At 47.2% G+C, this 20,000-nt stretch overlaps 1 protein-coding gene across 6 annotated transcripts in view, besides 4 other annotated features; it reads left to right on the forward strand.

The window, feature by feature from the left end:
- SDCCAG8 (SHH signaling and ciliogenesis regulator SDCCAG8) overlaps positions 1–20,000 on the forward strand; it is a 244,051-nt gene that overhangs the window by 210,195 nt on the left and 13,856 nt on the right. The gene's annotated exons all lie outside the window — the stretch shown is intronic.
- Positions 9,578–9,751: a silencer, noted in NCBI's record as "fragment chr1:243639115-243639288 (GRCh37/hg19 assembly coordinates)". NCBI's record gives its function as "represses an EF-1alpha promoter that drives an FKBP-Casp9 reporter gene in an ReSE screen in phorbol 12-myristate 13-acetate-treated (for megakaryocytic differentiation) K562 erythroleukemia cells {active_cell/tissue: K562(+PMA)}" and the evidence as "EXISTENCE:reporter gene assay evidence [ECO:0000049][PMID:32094911]".
- Positions 9,772–10,066: a silencer, noted in NCBI's record as "tiled region #5448; HepG2 Repressive non-DNase unmatched - State 13:Ctcf". NCBI's record gives its function as "represses a minimal TATA promoter and a strong SV40 promoter by Sharpr-MPRA in HepG2 cells {active_cell/tissue: HepG2}" and the evidence as "EXISTENCE:reporter gene assay evidence [ECO:0000049][PMID:27701403]".
- Positions 15,918–16,533: an enhancer, noted in NCBI's record as "H3K4me1 hESC enhancer chr1:243645455-243646070 (GRCh37/hg19 assembly coordinates)". NCBI's record gives its function as "activates a minimal SCP1, AML or CMV promoter by ChIP-STARR-seq in primed H9 embryonic stem cells {active_cell/tissue: H9 hESC(primed)}" and the evidence as "EXISTENCE:reporter gene assay evidence [ECO:0000049][PMID:30033119]".
- Positions 17,856–18,414: an enhancer, noted in NCBI's record as "H3K4me1 hESC enhancer chr1:243647393-243647951 (GRCh37/hg19 assembly coordinates)". NCBI's record gives its function as "activates a minimal SCP1, AML or CMV promoter by ChIP-STARR-seq in naive H9 embryonic stem cells {active_cell/tissue: H9 hESC(naive)}" and the evidence as "EXISTENCE:reporter gene assay evidence [ECO:0000049][PMID:30033119]".

The raw sequence follows: 20,000 nt of genomic DNA on the forward strand, positions 1-20,000 counted from the left end.
TATATGTGATCTTCTAACAACCTTGTGATGTATATAGGAGAAGTATTGTTAAAATTAAATTTTACTTTGAAGGAATTCAGGCCTAGAGAGGCTAAATGTCACAGATTCCCATGGCTGGTAGGCTGGGCCTCATACCCTTTCCTACTTAATGCCTCTGAGATTCACTAGAGAGAAGAGTAGTTAACAGTGCAGGTTCTGAACTCAGACAGTTTAAGTTCAAATCCTGTCTCTACTATTTCTGTGCTATGCGATTTTAGGGCAAGCTACTTAACATGGGAGTAAACTTCTTCATCTGTAAAATTATGACAGTCGTGCTACCTGTGTCACAGTCTTCTCTCAAGGATTGAATGAGTTATTACACAGAAATGTTAAGAACAGTGCAGGGCACATAGTAAGTACTCAACAAACATTAGCTAGGTGAATTGTTTAAAGTGTCCAGCACAGGAAGCAGCCTGTAATAGGAAATGAGCCTGTATTATGCCTGGGAGGTGATGTTACACAGGTCCTATCGAGAGTAGACAAGCTGACTAAGGAAGGTGCTCAAGTCCAGCAGGGAAAGTTCATTCTGCCCGTACTGTTACCAAAGTTAGAATATGACAATACTTCTGTTTTTGCGGTACAACCCGGGACTATTGCAGCCTATTAAATTAATGAGAGGCAGATAATTGACAGTGTCTCCCACTGGGGAACCAGGTCTCACTCTGGGTGGAGCAGTTAATATGCAGGTCTCCACTCTGGAGGGATAGGAGTGCTGCTTCCTCATGCTGCATTCCAGAATCCTTTCTAGATGCCTTCAAGATTTATACCCTTAAAGTTGGAAACCTGGGGGGCACCTTGTGCCCAAACAGCGCTAAATTCCAGGTAACACATCTCCATTCACAACCTATTGTGCGTAGACCCTCCTGGACACTGCTATTGACCGTTGACTGATTATGTGATCAAAGATTGATGAATCTGGAAGCACTGGAGGGATAGCAAAGGCTTTCATTTTTTTGTTTGTCTTTTTAAATCCTGTTCCATGTTCCACTTTGAACTGGATTGAAGTCAGCAGTGAAATCAGGAGTGTGGAAGCTGTGGTACCAGAGGAGAGAACCAGTGAGAGAGACTTGGCTTATAGCAATCAGTCCAGCTCCAGTCAGATAAAGGAGACACCAGTGAGGGAGTGAACAGAATGGTAGAGAACAACCCAGCTGAGATTCCAGCATCCTTTTCTTCTATCATCAGATACAAGAGGAGAGTTCACAAGAGAAGCCCAGTGGCTTTATTCGGAGAGAGTTGTCTGGTTAAGCACATATGTGCACCGCAAATCCACATTTGAGATCCACCCGTTTACATTTCTTCATATCAGCATCTGATCAGGAACCTCCAAATGTTCTAGCATCCTTTGCAAATAATTTTGATTTGGAAGGCTTCTCTGGATAGTTCATTTTTACTGAAAGACTATTCTCTTGATAAGAAATTTCTGACAATTTTAGTTATGTTAAATCAGATTCCACATATATAATGACAGCTTTGTTGGTGTGTATTTGTGTGTGAAGCATTGAAACGCATGTCACGTCCTGCCATCTTATAAAGAACACTGCCTTAATTTTTAACTATGCTGTAGGGAGCACCCAGTGTTCATACACATGTATGAGTGTATGTCAACATACATAGGATGATTGAACCATGAACTCTGTAAAGTTTGGTAGCATACACAGAAATTTGGTAAGGACAAGGATTTTTGTGCTACAAAACTTCCTTATCAAATGCCCAGTAGCTCTACGTGAGTTCCACCCAAGGACCTTGTTGTATGGACAAAAGGGCACAGGATTTTCCAGCCGTTGCTGCAATAATAGGTTTAGAAGACAGACCTGGGATTGTGTTCCAGCTTTACCACTTACTACCCCTGTGAACTTAGGCAAGATATTGTAGCATCTCTTAGCCTCAGTTTCCCTGTCCATAAAATGAGGATCATAATATTATCAATAATACCTTCTTCAAAGGTTTTTTTTTTTTTTTGAGACGGAGTCAGCTGTGTCACCCAGGCTGAAGTGCAGTGGCATGATCTTGGCTCACTGCAACCTCCGCCTCCCGGGTTCAAGCAATTCTCTTGTCTCAGTGTCCCGAGTAGCTGGGACTACAGACGTCCACCATCATGCCTGGCTAATTTTTGTATTTTTAGTAGAGATGGGGTTTCACCATATTGGTCAGGCTGGTCTCGAACTCCTGACCTCAGGTGATCCACCCGCCTCAGCCTCCCAAAGTCCTGGGATTACAGGCATGAGCCACCGTACCTGGCCTGATGTTAAGATTTTAAAATGCGGCCAGGTGCAATGGCTCATACCTGTAAACTCGGTGCTTTGGGAGACCAAGGTGGGAGGATCACTTGAGCCCAGGAGTTTGAGGCTGCAGTGAGCTGTGATCATGCCAGTGCACTCCAGCCTGCATGACAGAGGAAGACCCTGTCTCTAAAAGAATTAATTAATAAAAATAAAATGGCTGACAAAGCATTTAGTACAGTAACTGCACATAGAAAGAGCTCAATACATATTGTTTATTGCTTTTGCTATTTTTATTATTGAATCACAATTACCTCATTCATTAGATAGAAGAAATACTTCCTACATAACAGAGCTGGGTTTCAGAGTTGACTGAGCTAACGTATGTGAAAAGTACTTCGTATATGCTCTGAAGCACCCTGTGAAAATAATAATGATTGTATGTTTATTTACTGAGGATCTACTAAGCACCAGTCACTTTATATACTCTCCAATTCTCATAACAATCTTGTGAGAGACATAGTATGATTTTATAGAGCAAATGAAAGGATAGGCTTACAAGGATTTGCTTAGGATCATGCTCAGATTTCGACCCAGATCTATTTTAAATTCAGATTTATCCTTCTACAAAGCCACATATCAATGATGATAACCTTGAGAATTGCTAATAATAGTTTCTTGACTTTATTAACGGTCGAATTGGACTCATATTATCTAGTTTAGGCTGATTTGTCATTTTTTTGAGTAGTATAGCATCCATGGCATGCTTTTTTTGTTAAAATGTATGATTTTGATGAAATGCACTTAATACATCCTCACTCACAAACTTGTATATGTAGCTACCTACAAAAGATATTTGTACCACTAAGCCCTTGGCTATGAAGGCAGTTCCAAATAAAAGAACATGTCAGCAGAGTCCTAGGCAATGGCAGTGTGGTTGAAATATACATGCTGTCCTCAAGGTGAATAATTTGAAGGGCATACTTTTTTGAGTGGATAAATTCTGATTTTTATTATAATTTTCAGTGCTTTTTCAGTCACTCCTCATGTTTTTACATTTCAGTTACATGAATTTTCATTCATATTGTGGATTACAAGTAAACTGAATTTACAATTTGATGCCCCTGCCTGCATACTAATGATAACTAGCTTATTGCTCACCAGCTCACAGTGATCTGCTCAGATTGGCATATTGGACCCTGGGCATATTCATGAGGTAATGTATCTGCCTGCGAGTGCATGTGTGCATCTGGAACCTAGCGTATTGTAAGGAGATAGGCATGGCCTTTTCAGTTTGGTCCCTTCCTAGCTACAGGGCTTTGCGAAAGTGTTGGTTTTTTTTTTTTTTTTTTTTTAGTCTTCTAAGCCTCAGTCTCCTCATCTATTAAACTGGAATAATAATACCTATCTCTCAGAGTTTCTTGGCAAGTAAAGGGGTACTTCAGATAACATGCCCCATACTCAAAATATGTAACTCCCCTTTCCACCCTTCTTTGTTACCAAAAAAAAAAAAGTATAGCAACAGTAGAATATTTGCTTTGTTTTTTCACTGGATCATAGTTCCACACACAAGAAAAACCATGTCTGGTTAACAACACAAGGTCTAAACAGATTTACAAGGAGATCAGATGCTTCGCCTTTCACCTGACTGAGATGAAGCCACCAACGAGGCTGTCCCATGTGTGCAGTGCCTTCTGCCCAGATGTGGCGCAAGTGCTCCAGCTGCCCCGACGGGGCTGGGGCCTCAGAATCCCCCTCACTCCGCCTTTTGGGTTTTTGCTCCTAAAGCATCCTGGCCGTCATCACTCACATGTGCTCACCAGGTTTCGTTTCTAGTTCAGAGGAAACCCATACTTTTCACCTGTGTCTTTTGATCCCTGGCCTGATGGAATATTTTTCTAATGCCCCCACTTTTCCCAACTGCTCTAAGTTACAAATGGCCAGATTTCAGTCATTAGGAGAGTAGAATTTTTTTTTCCTTTTCCTTTTTTTTTTTTTCTTTTTTTTGCAGCCTGTCTCACTGGGGGCTGGATTCCAAGGAAGCAGCCCGTGCACTCACAGGCCAGGGGAGCCAGGATTTCAACGGTGTCAACAATCTTTGCTCATCACACCAAAAAAGCCCTGTGTCGGTGCCGACTCATTAGCATACAGCCGTGCTGTGCTTGCTAACAAAGCAGGCTCTGGGTATCTGCTAGTTTCTCAGCTTGTCTGTCTTCCTTGACCGAAAAGAAGAGAAGAAATAGATTCAGGCAAGGGTGCTGTCCCCCTCCTGTGGCAAGACAGCATCACAAGGATTCCCAGAGAGAGCGAGCTTTGAAGTGATTTTAAAGTCACCATCCTTGGGAGAAAGGAGACTGTCCACCCTTTGTTTTTCTCATCTTCTTCTATAGCATCAACAAGCAAAAGAAAAATCGCTATGTTCTCTAGTTAAAAATGATCGAGCCCTGAATACTTCCTGGTCATCTCTTTCATAGTTGTTGTTGTTAGAGTGCATAAGAAGAAATATCTGTATAGGCAGAGGTACACAAGCATGCTCTCCCCTCAGTCTGTCTCTCGATCCCTCTTTTGTTGGGGGATGGAGGGAAGAAGAAACGTACAAGCAGATGTGCTGCTAGATCTACAGGCTTCTGCCAACCATATGGCATCTTAAGGAAAGATGGTTGGAGCGTCTGGATTAGCAGAGTCGGGATGGGAAGCCATGTGTCGTGTTGGTACAGGCAGTTGTTTGAGCTCTCTCTAAATGGCTTCAGGAGATTGTGTAATGGAACAAATGGTCCTGCGAGCCCAGGAACAGCCTTGCCGCTGCTGGAGAGGCAATTGGCCCTCGGGCGGGTACTGCTTCCCTTTTTTCCCCCAGTATTATGTATTCTTCATTTAATGTTCTTCGAACTCTGAGACTTGACTCGGAACTTTTCAACTTATTACGCTCGTGGGTTCTGTCTGCCTCTGTGTCTGCCTGAACTCTACTCTGTCCCTAATCTGGTAATTAATAATGCCCCAGTCCTCTTCTGTGTCCTCTCCCTCGGCCCTCCACGGGGGGTCCAGGCTCAGCAGGCCAGCTTTTCGTGCCTCTTGACAAAGGCCTTTTCGGAGGAGGCTGCCCTGCTATCAGGGGTTGGGGGGTGGAGGGAGGATGATGTATCCACCCATCAGAATTCCCAGAAGCCTCAGGAGATGGAAAATCTTTCATTTCTTAATGAGTTAACTGGGAGTTTTACGTCGTCCTAGGTGTTAAGCACATGAGAAATATGTAGCATCACTATTTTGGACCTCATGTGTGGCATTAAAAAAAATTATTCTAATTTCATACTAGTGAAAGCATTGGACTATTAGGTCACAGGTGCCATTTACTCAGCAATTTGAGACCTCAGGATTCTACTCTCTAATACATAATTTAAATACTGTATGAATATACTGTAAATTGGAGAACTGAAACACTGTGAGGCTGGCAACACATGGGCAGTATTTCAACTGTGGTCAGGTTCTCAGGCCATTCTTATTTTGGGAGGCTGGAGGCGGGAGAAGCAGTGAGACCTCACAACTAGAACAGATCTGGTGAGTTTCTTCTCATAGGAAGGCTCTTTGGACATTTCAGCTGCCTTTTAGGGCAAACAGATCTTGTTTTGTTGATGTTTCAGGGTCATGGCACATGCAGTGCAGTGTCTTTAGCTGCTGATATAGTTAGGTCTGCCTCCTCTCTGGGGTAGATAACAAAGCCTGAGGCTCCAGGTGTGTCATACATTGTGCTTAATGGAAGATAAAATGGCTAGTTGATTCAGTCAAAGAACCTGTCCATTTATCTGACTAAATCATCAAACCAGTTTGAATTAAGTCATCAGCTTGAGTCCCTGAGAGTAGCTGGTCAGTACCTGGTGGGCATTTTTGTTTGTTTGTCTGTTTCTAAGTCCAGGGCTGGAGAAAGAGGTCAGTACCTGGTCTGTGCTGCACACCATGGGGGCAGAGTGCCCTTCCTCCTTTCTCACAGGCAATGACCCCAAAAACGGAAGCAAGTAAGAAATGCAGCATCCAGGTTAAAAATGAATTCACTTATGGTCAGCTGTGTCCAGGCTGAAAATGAGTCACCTATGGTCAACTGTGGGAAATAGGAAGCTGTCATGCCTACTGCAGCTTCCCTCAAAGGTACTTCGAGCAATGAAAATACATTCTAATTTATTTGCTGTGGAACAATGCAAAGGCTTCCTCAAAAAAAGAAATGAAACCTGGAGAATGTGTGACTGAACTCCAGCAGGAGAACAGGACACAAGTCTAGAAATCTCAAGTGTCTTCAAACTGTTATTATTTTTATGGATTTGTGACTCCAGCAAACAACTTTTACTATCTTAAACAAGGTCATCTGAAAATCACTTGAAGATTGTTACCAAATTCCTTCATAAATATTTTCTACAAACATAAATGTCCACCAGAAATTTCAGATAAAGTACTATTTCTCCTGTGTCAATTCTTTGTATTTAAAATTTATCTCATATACCTAGGTTTTAAAACACGTTTTTAAATTTTCAGAACTCATTTCATGCTGAACATGTTAAGTGCTAGGATATTCTTACTTTGTCTTCCGAGTTTAGGATCTCTGCGGGGGTGTGGGGGGTGTGTCTGTAGAAAGCATAATTTTGATTGTTATCCACCAATTGGAAGAAATCCCTACTTTAATCTCTTTTACCTTCCAAGTGTACATGGTCCCAAATTTGTCAGTCTTAGAATTTCTTGAAACAATGCAATTAAACTGCAACATATTTCCTAACATTCTTAATTAAGACAGTGACTGAAAAATGTAGATTAACAGAAGTTACTGTTTTTATCAACATATTTTCTCTCTCTTTCCCGCCACCATCACATCCCCCTCCCCCTACCCCTTCTTGCTTTAAATGTCTGATGTCAGTTTCATCCACATGTACATTATGCACATGGCACTGAAGAAACAAAGTAAAAAATTCTCTTTTAATTCTGAGCTGCATGCCCAGCGCCACATGCACTGTCTGTTACATGTCGCTTCTTATGAGGTTCATGCTGGGAAGTTTCTTTTTAAAGGCGAAGTGTTTCTGAAGGAAAGAGTTCAGGTTGGGCAGATTGTGTTAGAAAAATCTCACTGTCTCCGAGTGGAATTAATATACTGATTATTCTGTGCAGGCTCAAACTGGCAGCGTGTGCAAAAGTTCAAGAGTGTCTGGGAATTGAAATATGGAGGAGAAAGCGGGAGAGTGAGCAGAGACAAAGAATTGGAAGTAGGGCTCAGAAGTGAAACTAAACGGTAACTTTGTAAAGAGAGGAAGGGAATTCAAGTCTGAACAACTGTCATGAAGCAGTACTTACTGAAAATATTTTTATGGAATCAGGAAGCTCCATTTTCCATGGCACTTTTTAGGAGGGGTCTTACAAATGAGTTTGGTTATTGGAGGAGAGTTGCCGGCGGGGGGGGGGGGGGGGGCCGGGGGAGTACTTCTTTGAGTTCTCAAGATCCTTGCCAGTTTCAATTAAGTCACATGAGAAGCTTAATCACTAACATAGAAATGTAAACGGGTTGCAGTATTTCTTTGGCCTATTAGCCAAGATTTTTTTTTTCCTGTTTATTAAAATTTGAGTCCTTCATGATCACTGACAAACAATGATTCATTGGTTTACAAATAAGGAATTAAAAGGTAAGAAAAGCAAATGCAATCACGCAGCACCTTTCCCATCGCGGGGAAATCAACCTTTTTACTCATTGCCTCTCAGGGGAAAGAACTTGGGACGTGAGCATGGAGTTAATGAAGCTTTCACCCATCTCCTCCTCTCAACCGTCATCCCGGTTTAATCCTCTCCTTCTGCCAAAGTCCAGAGGCCCTGCGAGCCCCCGTGGAGTCGCCTGAGCCAGATGCTCCGCACCCAGCCTCCCCAAGCCCCGGCCGGCTGCCCTCCAGGTGCGGGCTCCAGGCCCTCTCGCGCGGCTTCGGGACTCGGCCGAGCCCGGGCCTAGTATCCAGAGTCGAAGCAGCCGCCGGGAGGTCTGGGTGGGCAGGGAGGCCGAGAGGACGGTGCACCGCCCGGCAGCGCTGAGACCTGGCCGCCTAGGCCACCCTGCCCGGCGAGGGAGAGGGGTGTCTCCTGCCTGGAGCGCTCCGCGGTGGCCCGAGAGCAGGTGCTGGCGTGCGGGAGGCGCACGTGGAGCCCTGCGGTCTGTTCCACCTGCAGAGGCACAATTGCCCAGCGTGGGGTGGAAGGCAGGCTGGGAGCTCCCGGGACGCGGCGTGGCAGCGCAGGGCTCGGCTAGATGCGCTCCTCCTCGGACTGGTTGAGTAAGGGAGGAGGCTCGTCCTGAACGTGCACAGCCGCTCCTAACTCCGTCAACGGAATTTCACTCAACTCCGAGACTGAAGCATTTTATTGGCAGCATTTAGAATCGGGGAAAAATCTACCTTCTGTTTAGCAGTTGCTCTTTTCTGAAGCAGAAAATTATCTCTAGGGATGACTTAGTAATAGGGTACCCCATTGCCATGTGGGTCAGGGATTGGGGGAATGTCCGGATCCTGCCAATGCACCTCTGTAAAAGGTGGCATTCAGCCTGGGAGGAGAGGAGCTGGCAGGGCAGGCCGCCCCCAGACACGCACAGGCCCAAGCTCTGTCCTGCAGCCCCTCCCGGACACGCACAGGCCCTGAGCCCTGTCCTACAGCCCCTCTCCTGTTGTCATTTGCTATCAGGGCAGTTCTACCGCCGCCACTAAGCTTTGCTTCTCCCAACACAACCAAGAGACGGACATATAGCAGTGAATACTGTCTGGATGGTTTAGCATGTCTGGGGCGGGGGTCTTTCTATTGCCTGCAGGGGTTTCCGAGTCTACCCAGCAGGTGCTCACCAGGAGTGGGGGCTGTGACTGGGACCCATGGCCTGTGGTGTGAGGGGTGAGGGGCCACTGTGTACTGTAACCGGGAGCAGCCTGGAAGAAGGCCCCTGCTCCCCCTTCCCTCCGGCGCCTCTTACTCAGGAAATCTTAATGTGGGAAGGATGTGTATGGGGCTCCATAAGCAACACTGACCCAGTCCTGGGGAGAGACAAACCCCTCGTCCGCTCTCAGATCATCCTCAGAGATCCTCTGGGGCCTCTGAGTTGAATCCCAGGCTCTCCCCTGCTTTCGCGAGGACCCAAGGCTTATGCACACAGAGGGTTTCTGGTTGGAACACCTAAAAGTTGATTGATGACAGAGAGATGGTGCTAAACTGGCATATTGCAAAGCAATCTTGGTATTTGTTCTTTGTCACCTTCCTCAAGGCTCAAGGTGCTTTTTGGGCTAAAATGGGGCATTCTGTGAACGTGTGCTACTTTTGAAAAATAGAGGAAGGGGTGTTGGAAGCCTAGACTGGTTCTCTTGCCACTCCTCAAAAAGCAAAATTTTGCAGCCCAAATATTAAAAATTGACTCCGCGTATTCCTTCTCCCCCACAGTGGCACACAACTGGGCAGGCTCCATCTCGTCTGCTGCTGGAACCCACTAGAAACCAAATGAGCCCTCCAGCAGGCCTAATCACTCTGATCTGTCATGGACCTTCTAGCTGGAAGAGTTATGCCATCATATTATCCCAACACTCATCAGTGTGTGGAGGACCCCCTTTTACTGAATGATTTATTGCTCTTTGCAGAATTCCTTTGGCTGCAGATTTTATTTCTGAGTCACTCTGTTCAGCTCAATTGGTCGCCTTCAGTTACCGTGGCAACCAGCAGATGGGGTTCTTTGACAAGGGTCAGCGGGGAGGCTGCCTTGGTTTGGACAGAAGAGGAGCTAAATAAAAAGCTTTCAGCATTGACGGTTCCGTAGCGGACGGCCAGGAGTTGTTATCAAATTACTTGCATTAAAACCTAATTAAGATGTGTGCCAATAAGTGGGCTGTAGTGATTGAATCTGGTTACTTAGCTGCTGTGGGCCCAATCTTATGCCATCACACCTCTGTGGCTAGTTTGACTATCCCAAGAATGGTCAAATATGAAGGAAATTGAGGAAGACCTCACCACAGTGTGGAACGTGACATACTCTGGGACCACACCAGGAGGGTTTTAGTCTCTGGGAGCACCAGAAAGTCCCCATTCAAACAGAAACTTCCTGAAAACACAGCAGTGTGCCCCCCAAACCCAAGATGGCAACTGAACAGGACCTCCATGCGTCTGATAGTTCCATGTCTTCCGTTAAGACTATTGGTAATTCAGTTGCAAATAGCATTCAACAAAATAAAACTGGCTTGTAATCACTCTGGGTTAAAGAAGTCTAAATAGAGACATGCCAACTAAGTATGAAGGATCTTTTCTGGAGTGGGAAGAAAGGAACATTATTGGGCCAGTCAACAAGATTAGAATCCAATTCAGTAGGTTAGATGAAGCTATTAGATCAATATGAAATTGACTGTAGTTGGTAATATACTGTGGTTCTGTAAGAGAATGCCTTTATCCTTAGGAAATACACACTGTAGCATATAAGATAAAAGGGCAATGGTGCATGCAGCTTACTGTCAACTGGTTCTGTACACACACACACACACACACACACACACACACACAGAGAGAAAGGCAGGAGAGCGTAATCAATCAGATGGGGCAAAATTATTACAGTAGGTGAATTTGAATAAAGGGTATGTTGGTATTCTCTGTAATATTCTTGCAACTTTTTATAAGTTTGACATTATTTCCAAATAAACCCATTTTTAAGGACGGCTTTAGGGTGAGGTAGGGTACAGTGTGCGTGGCAGTGTGGGTTTTCCTGCTGGTGCTTCTGTATGGCCTTGAGCCACATGCAGCATAGATACTACTCTGCAAAGATTCTGATTTTCAACAATTTCCATTCCTCTGTCCCATTTCCTTTGCACAGTGGGGCTATCCTCACCATTAGTCTGTTCTTGCTTGAGACAAAGCTGATTAAGGTAACTCTTACTTCAGGCAGATGGTCTTCTAGGTTCTTCAAAGTCTAAGATTCATAACGTGTCAACTCCTGTTTCATGGTGTCAGGATCCTTTATTCATGCCCAGTCTTCCAAAGGTATTACAAACTCAGCCTTGGTTCGATAGCACTTGTATTTTAAGAAGGTTACAAGGTAGTGATTCAACAGATCTAATTGCCCTAAGATGAAGCTGTGCCTCCTTTTTGGTAGAAGCACTGTTTGAAGAAGTTGGTCTTTGAAGAGCCTCGGTGATATTGTCAGAGGCTTTAGGTTCCTGTCAGAGGCAGCTGTGCTGGAGCTTGAAGAGCTGAAAGTGTCCCCTTGGCCATGGGCCCATTCACTGGGGGCCAGTGTGGCACTGTGGGCTTCCCAACATGGTCTTCCAAGCTTCTGGCCTCTTTTGCATCCTTTGTGCCAACACCAGTCTGTGGATGAGATCAATGTGGCTCAGAGTGTGGTTTCCAGAGTACGGTCCTCAAACTGTTACTGGTCTGGGATGAGGCAAGAACTGAAATTGAGTCAGAAATTTTCAAAACAATCAAACACTGCTTCCTCCTTTTTATTGTACTCCACAAAACCATTAGTCTACAATAGATTGGAAATTTTAAAAGAATTAAAATCAAGTCTGGTTCTCCTCACTGAGCTCATTGGGGAATCCCTGGCCTAGGGATTTCCCTCTTCTCCCGCCCCCAGGCCTCGGAAAATGAACTGGTGTCAGCTGCTGCCCAGAAGGTTACCCAGCGTGTTCTCTCTCTCAGGGTCCTTCCCTTAAATTCTCAAGTTTGACATGGAATAGAAGAATGTCGGGCGTTTCAAAAAAGGATTTTGAGATGCTGCAAAGCTCACTGGATTTAGAGTCAAGAGATGTGGGCTCTAGCGCCAGATTTACTACAGACAGGCTGCCTGACCTTGGGCAAGTCACTTATACTTTCTTGGCTTCACCATAATGGGCTGAACTGAATGTTCTCTAAGGTGCCTCTCAGCCCTAACATAATATGATTCTTTTCATGAGAAGAGCAGGACTTGATCCCCCCATCACTTGGGGGCATCCCCAAGGAGCCCCCTGTTCTTCCTCTGCAGGCAGCCAAGGCTAATTAGGAATCTGAGAGAATGAGCCAGGAAAGGGGCAGTACAGGACATACATTCTCTTCATTGAAGGTGGTACCCCCTCCCCACTGCACGATCCTCAGGAAGAATTCCTTTATTGAAACCATTATTGAATAGGGTAGATTTAGGCACGGGAAATGTAAACAGCAAACCAGCCACTAAAAGTGCGTTAATGTCACGCCTGTAATCCCAGCACTTTGGGAAGCTGAGGTGGGCGGATCATGAGATCAAGAGATCGAGACCATCCTGGCCAACGTGGTTAAACCCCAACTCCACTGAAAATAAAAAAAATTAGCTGAGCGTGGTGGTGTGTGCCTGTAGTCCCAGCTACTCGGGAGGCTGAGGCAGGAGAATCATTTGAACCCGGGAGGCGGAGGTTGCAGTGGGCCGAGGTTGTGCCACTGCACTCCAGCCTGGCCACAGAGTGAGACTCTGTCTCAAAAAAAAAAAAAAAAAAAAAGAAAGTGCCTTAATGTTCTGAGCAAGGATAATGGGCTAGAGCGTGTTCCGGAAGCCTCAGCACACTGCTTGTTCTCACTGATAGGACCTCGTTCACGAGATGGAATTATGTAAAATGCCGCAGCAATGGTTAAGTGTTGGAACAAAGTAATACAGCTTTACATTAACATGGTTTATTCACTAGAATTAATGACCTAGAGCAGTAATTGCATTTTCAAAACTTCAGCTTGCTGACTAGGTGTATTGCTATGTAAATAGCTAGCGATATTTGAAGATAGGAACACAGTAAAATCTGTAAAGTAATAGGATTGTAGAAATATGGAGCTGGAGGAGAATGTAGTCATCTTCTAGCCCCGAGGCTGGCAAACTTTAAAAGGTCAGGTAATAAATATTGTAGGCTCCATGGCCATATGTTCTCTGTCGCAGCTACTCGGCCGTTATGGTGCAAAAGCAGCCATAGACAAAACGTGAATGAATGGGCATGGCTGGGTTTCAATGAAAGTTTATTTAGGGGCGCTGCAAGTTGAATTTCATGCAGTGTTCACATATTATACTCCTTTTGATTTTTAAAAATCATTTTAAAATGTAAAAATCACTCTCAATTGGCAGATCATACAGAAACAGGCAGTGGCCTGTAGTCTGAAGTTTGCCGACCTCACTTCTAGTTTTCTCCTCTCATTTCACATGTGAGGAAACTGAGATTCAAAGTGATCACAGGATTTACTTAAGTTCTCATGACTGACGCCAGAGTATTTTAGGAGCAGACTAGGAGAGTTTTCATGTAGACAGTTGGTTGTTTTGATGATGAAAATTGAAGCCACACAAAAATTATTCTCCAGAAGAACTCATTTCGTATGTGTGATTAATACTGTGAATTAGAATGTACCAGTGGTTCTCATGCTTAAGAATTCATCAGAGTCATCCAGGGGCCTTATTAAAACACATGCTGCTGGGCCCCACCCTCAGAGTTGATGGTTCAGGTCTGGAGATCTTATTTTCTCCATTTTACAAATGGAGAACCTGAGGTTGAGAGAGATACTCAGTCTCAGGCTTAAGGTAAAATAGCTAGCTTGTGATGTCCCCCATTTCCAAGTTCAGCACTCATAGGATTAGGATTAGAGCTATAAGTAATCATCAAGCAGAGAGGCAGGGCTGCAGTTTTGTTTAGAGAGATCCTTCTAGTCTAGCTGTTGCGGGGAGTATGGATTCCAGGGGGCCGTGTGGAAGCACACAACTCTATGAGAAGGCTGTGCAGGAACCTGGATGTGAAGTGCTGGCAGCTGGACTTCAAGAGTGAAGGTCATGGAATGGATGGGTGGATGGATGAGTGGGATGGATGGATGGGTGGGATGGATGGATGGATAGGTGGGATGGATGGGTGGGTGGGATGGATGGATGGGTGGATGGATGGATGGATAGGTGGGATGGATGGGTGGGTGGGATGGGTGGATGGGTGGATGGGTGGGATGGATGAATGGGGGATGGATGGATGGATGGATGGATGGATGGATGGGTGGGATGGATGGATGGATAGGTGGGATGGGTGGGATGGATGGATGGATGGGTGGATGGATGGATGGATAGGTGGGATGGATGGGTGGGTGGGATGGATGGGTGGATGGGTGGGATGGATGGATGGATGGGTGGTATGGATGGATGGGTGTGATGGATGGATGGATGGGTGGGATGGATGGATGGATGGGTGGGATGGATGGATGGGTGGGATGGATGGATGGATGGATGGGTGGGATGGATGAATGGGGGATGGATGGATGGGGGATGGATGGATGGATGGGTGGGATGGATGGATGGGTGGGATGGATGGATGGATGGATGGGTGGGATGGATGGATGGATGGATGGATGGGTGGGGTGGATGGATGGGTGGATGGATGGATGGGTGGGATGGATGGATGGGTGGGTGGGATGGGATGGGATGGGAGAGGTTCAGAAGGCCTAGAGGGCTCATCTGTGGAACCAGGAGACTGAGCTGTGGGGATGGTGACTAGGGGTGGTCCCACCCACTGAGAGGGTCACAGAGAGAGGAGCATTAGAAGGTGACTCCAGTGTGTCAGGTGGTGAGTTTGAGGTGGGCTTGGAAATGCAAGAGAGAGGCCCGAGGCTGAGATCAAGTGCTCAGGATCCTTGGCCTCTCCACTTGGAGTCATGAGTGTAGATTTTAAAAATCATGCAGGCGGAACATTTCCAGTCAGGAGAGCACTGAGCCCAGCCCTGGGTCACACCAGCATTTGAAGGTCTGATGGAGGAGGAAGAGGGACCAAAGGGGAGTGAGAGACCTGTACAGAGTCTAAGAAGGAGAGTGATGAGTCGCACTGTGGGCCTTGCTCTGTGGCCTTGGTGGCTTAGGTAATCCTGGCTCTGCCTTACCTTGTGTGCGCTTGGGCAAATGATCGCTTCTCTGCACCTTGCTTCTCTCATGCATAAAATGCAGATGATAAAGTAACGTGTAGTATTGTTATGAGGATTAAATTAGGGAATGTAAAATGCTTACAATGTTGGGCATTTAGTAAATGCTCAGTAAACATTAGAGGAGGCCACTGGGAGGAGTAGAAAAGTGAGTGCATATTTTACAGTTCATGTATTTGCACCTTTGAAATCCATATGTTGTTTGAAAAATGTTCTTCATTTCCATGAGGAAGACGCCGCTCCCAGGGAAATAGTGAGTCTAAGCACTTTGAGAACACTTATCTAAGAGGAAGGACAATCTTAGCTGTAGTCAGAGTGACCACAGGGAGGAGGCTCTGGTCTGAAAACATTTCAGAACAAAGGATTTTACCACTACCACCAAAACCAAACCCAAAACAAAACCCCAAAACAACAACTAAAACCTTCCACTGTAGTCCGTAGGTAGCTCCCAGGGGGAATTGTCCAGTGAAGCAAAAAACTCTCATTGAAAAACATACACGCATAAGGATATAGGCCCCCTCTGGGGAAGGAAGGGGCTGGCCTGGAGAAGAAATCCATTGGTAGTGGCCCTGTGGAGCTGGTGCTAGGTTCACAAGTGTTCATTTGGTTATTATACCTCATGACTTATGTATACATTGCATATATTTTGTATGTATCACATACAACATAAAAAAATTTAAATCTATGTATTCACTTGCTTTCACAGTATTCATAGCAAATGAGTGTCTGAAGCATAGGACCAGAGCTGGCAGCTTGCACCGCTTCTGTTTTGCATAAGATATTTTCCCCAGCCCACTCAGCTCTATAAAGTTGTTTTGTATTTCACCACTTGCTCCATCTTATCTTGAAGCCTTGCATATTTTTTTAAATGCTGGTTCTGATCATGCTTGCAGGGTGTGGCTCAGAGGATCGCTGTTGGACCAATGGAGATCTGCCTGGGCCCAGCACTCTTATGAGTCCCCTGTGATTTCATCAGCATCTGCCTTTAGAAACCCGGGCGTGTTTGTTCCCATGGTAACTGCTGCCCCTGACACGCCTGAAATTCCTGGGATGCCCTTGCGTGGAAGGGGAGCCCGTGCTGCCCATTCTACCCCTGCATGGGGCAGCTGCTTTTCTCCCTCAGGGTCCCCAGTCCTACCCAGGCAGGGGTGGCAGTTGTTCATCTGCAGATCCTGAAGGACATGGACCCTGTGCCTGAGATTAGGACGGCCGCACCAGCCTGGGTGCAGGCTCCCTCAAGTGTCCTTCCTCATGGACCCGCGGACCCTACGCTGTGCTGTGAGGGCCGGGGAGCACAGGGGCTTCCTGGGAGGAGGACTGGCTTCCTGCCCCTGATGGGGCCTGGCCACAGCTCCCAGGGCTCCATGACAGCACAGTGAAGATAGCAACCACATCCTGGGGGCCCTGGATGCAATCCCTGCCTGTTGCAAAGATGAGATAAAGGCGCGGGAAAGAAGGGTCTGAATTAGGGGTTGAGCTCTGAAATCGGACGATTCTGTGTTTCCTGCCGCATGGAGGGCGTGTGTGGTTCGCAGGCTGTGGGGGGCTTCTTGCAGCGGGGGCTGCTGCCTAAACAGACTCCGCGGGCCCCATGATGGCAAACCCCCTCGCCCCGTTCATGACTTAATGCCTCCTAGAAGAAAAGGCTAAAAACAAGACACACAGAACAAGAAATTGCACTCTCTCAAAACGACAGTCGCCCTGAAACGGACGCTGGAAGAGGTTTCCAGGCCCGTGGCGACGGTGAGGGGGGTGAAGGTCGCAGGTGGAGGGCACGGGGCGGCGGCTGCGGAGCCCGGGGAGGAGGCGGCGGGCGCCCGGGTCTTCCTCGGAGCGCGCCCCCTGGGCTGGGCGGCGTGTCCCTGCCTCCCGCCGGCGCCCTCGTCCCCGCAGCAGCGTCCCCGCCGCCACCCCGCTGCCTCGTCGCCTTTCTCGCAAACAGCGGTGCCCTCTACGTGGGGGATCCTGGAGGCTGCTGAGCACGAGCGCCCTCCGCGACCCGCCCCTGCTCCCGCCTCCACTCTTGCCTCGGGGGGAGGGTCTCAGTCTTCTGCCTAAGGCGCCCTCCTCCCTTGGGAAGTCCGCCGTCCTCTGCCGTGAAGATTGCCCCTCTCTCCTCCAGTGCCTCCTCCCCAGCGGCTTCGGTGGCTCCCACCCTCCGCACCCCGTCTCGCGACCTCCCCGCCAGCCCAGCCCCTCACCAGAAGAGGCTTTCTCTTCCAGCCCCTGAAATCTGGCTTCTGCCCCAGCCAGGAGGCTCCGCAGGGCGCTCCGCCACCAGGTGGCATTTCCCACAAACCGGCCACTCCGCCCTGACCCCTCTCCTCCCTGGACCTCCGTCTCCCAGTTTTCCTCCCTCCAGGATCCCACTCTCAGTGTCTTGCCGGATTCCAGTCCACTGCCAGCCATTGAAGGCGGAGGTTCCTTAACCCCTATCCTGGGGCGAGCCCTTCCCTCTCACTGCAGAAGAGCTTCTCAGCTAGGGGGGTCGTGCGGGCCCGGAGAGCTGCATTTTTAACAAACTCCCCACACTGACAATCTTTGCCAACCCTTCCCAGGCAAATCTTGCCCCCACGTTCATGGTCTCGCCTCCCAGCAGGTTTGGCCCACCCAGCTAGAGCTCCAGCTCGGCCCTTCCTAAGCCCCAAGTTGCATAGCTGCCTGGTGGGTGCGTGTTCCACAGGTACCTCGGACTCGCCCTGACCCCAGAACGTCTCTTCTACGCCAGGCCGATCCCTCCTGCCATCCTCTGTCTGTTAAATGGCACTGCCATTGCCTGCAGGACGAAGTCCATATTTGCTGGTTTGGCTACAGAGTCCAGCGTCGCCTTCCTCTGAGCAGCCTGCAGCCTCTGGTGCAGCCACACTGCACAGCTTGCAGTTTCCAGACACGCATTGGCCTTTGCAGTGCGGCCCCGAAGTGGGAAGGCCCCGCCCCTGGCCCTGGCCAGAAAAGCACCCACTCATCCTTTCCCATCCCAGCTTGCCCGCTGAGTGACTTTGAATCAATGATTCATGTTGTCTGTGCCTCAGTTTCCTTAACCTTAAAGTGGCATAATAATTAGTTCCTGCCTCATGGAATTGTGAGTGCTAAATAAACAGTAAGTCTAGTGCCCGACATAAAAGTGCTCAGCATACGACGATCATGAGCCATGTCTAAGCAGGCGCAAGCCCTCCCAGGCTTCTCATCTGCAATATTGGCCATTTCTCTTCATGCCTCAGTGTCCTGTTTGAGTTGAGCATGTTTTTTTTACAAGTGAGTCTCTCCTCCATTGGCCGGGAACCGCCCGAGAGCCGGGAGCATTTGTCATTCTTGATGGACCCCCAGGTCTTAAATCAGTACTTGACCCTTAAGAGGTGTTGGCCGGGCGCGGTGGCTCACGCCTGTAATCCCAGCACTTTGGGAGGCCAAGGCGGGCAGATCACGAGGTCAGGAGTTAGAGACCAGCCTGGCCAACATCGTGAAACCCCATCTCTACTAAAAATACAAAAATTAGACAGGTGTGGTGGTGCGCGCCTATAGTCCCAGCTACCTGGGAGGCTGAGGCAGGAGAATTTCTTGAACCCAGGAGGCAGAGGTTGCAGTGAGCCAAGATTATGCCACTGCACTCCAGCCTGGGCAACAGAGCAAGACTCCATCTCAAAAAAAAAAAAAGAAGAAGAAGCAGAAGAAGAGAGGTGTTTAGCAAGGCTTGGTTCGTTTGGTGAATTAACTCAGTGAGTTAACCACCATTAACGATGGTTAAGGACACTTGGGCGCTGGCTCGATTTGACTCCGAGCTTTACCGATTACTTGTGTGACTTTGTGCAAGTTAATTAACATCTCAGCTTGTTTTCTCATCTGTGAAATGGGGATGATACTAGCATGTACCTCCTAGGACTATAGTGAACTTTTAATTAAGATAATTATTGAATTTAACAGGTAGTTTATTAATGAAATTTACATAGGTAATTGTGGCGCAGTGAGCCCAGGGGCTCAAGGTGTTAGCAGTCATCAACAGTGCTATTTGAAACTGTGGGTGGATGAAGAGGTGAACTCAACACCACAAATATGACAGAGCAGTAACCACCATGGAAAAGAAAAGAGAGCTTATGTGTCTAGGACACCCCAAGAAATCTCTTCTGAATGAATGATGGCAATGAAATAGCCATTAACAGAGGGTAGGCTGGTTTGTGCAGGGTTGGAGGCTTTTCCAAAAATAAATAACTTTCAAAAAATCTCAGCCAGGCGCGGTGGCTCATGCCTGTAATCCCAGCACTTTGGGAGGCTGAGGTGGGTGAATCATGAGGTCAGGAGTTCAAGACAAGCCTGGCCAAGATGGTGAAACCCTGTCTCTACGAAAAATATAAAAATTAGCTGGGCACGGTGGCAGGAGCCTATAATCCCAGCTACGGCAGGAGAATCGCTTGAACCCAGGAGGCGGAGGTTGCAGTGAGCTGACATAGCACCGCTGCACCCTAGCCTGGGCAACAAAGCAAGACTTCGTATCAAGAAAAAAAAAAAAATCAATCTCGGGCCGGGCGTGGTGGCTCACGCCTGTAATCCCAGCACTTTGGGAGGCTGAGGCGAGTGGATCACTTGAGGTCAGGAGTTTGAGACCAGCCTGACCAACATGGAGAAACCCCGTCTCTACTAAAAATACAAAATTAGCCGCCGTTGTGGCACATGCCTGTAATTCCAGCTACTCTACTCGGGAGGCTGAGACAGGAGAATTGTTTGAACCCGGAGGCGGAGGTTGCGGTGAGCCGAGATCGCACCATTGTACTCCAGCCTGGGCAACAAGAGCAAAACTCTGCCTCCAAAAAAAAAAAAAAAAAAAAAAAAAAAATCTCT

Source organism: Homo sapiens, chromosome 1 (genome assembly GCF_000001405.40).
Source record: "Homo sapiens chromosome 1, GRCh38.p14 Primary Assembly".
Classification (NCBI taxonomy): Eukaryota; Metazoa; Chordata; class Mammalia; order Primates; family Hominidae; genus Homo; species Homo sapiens.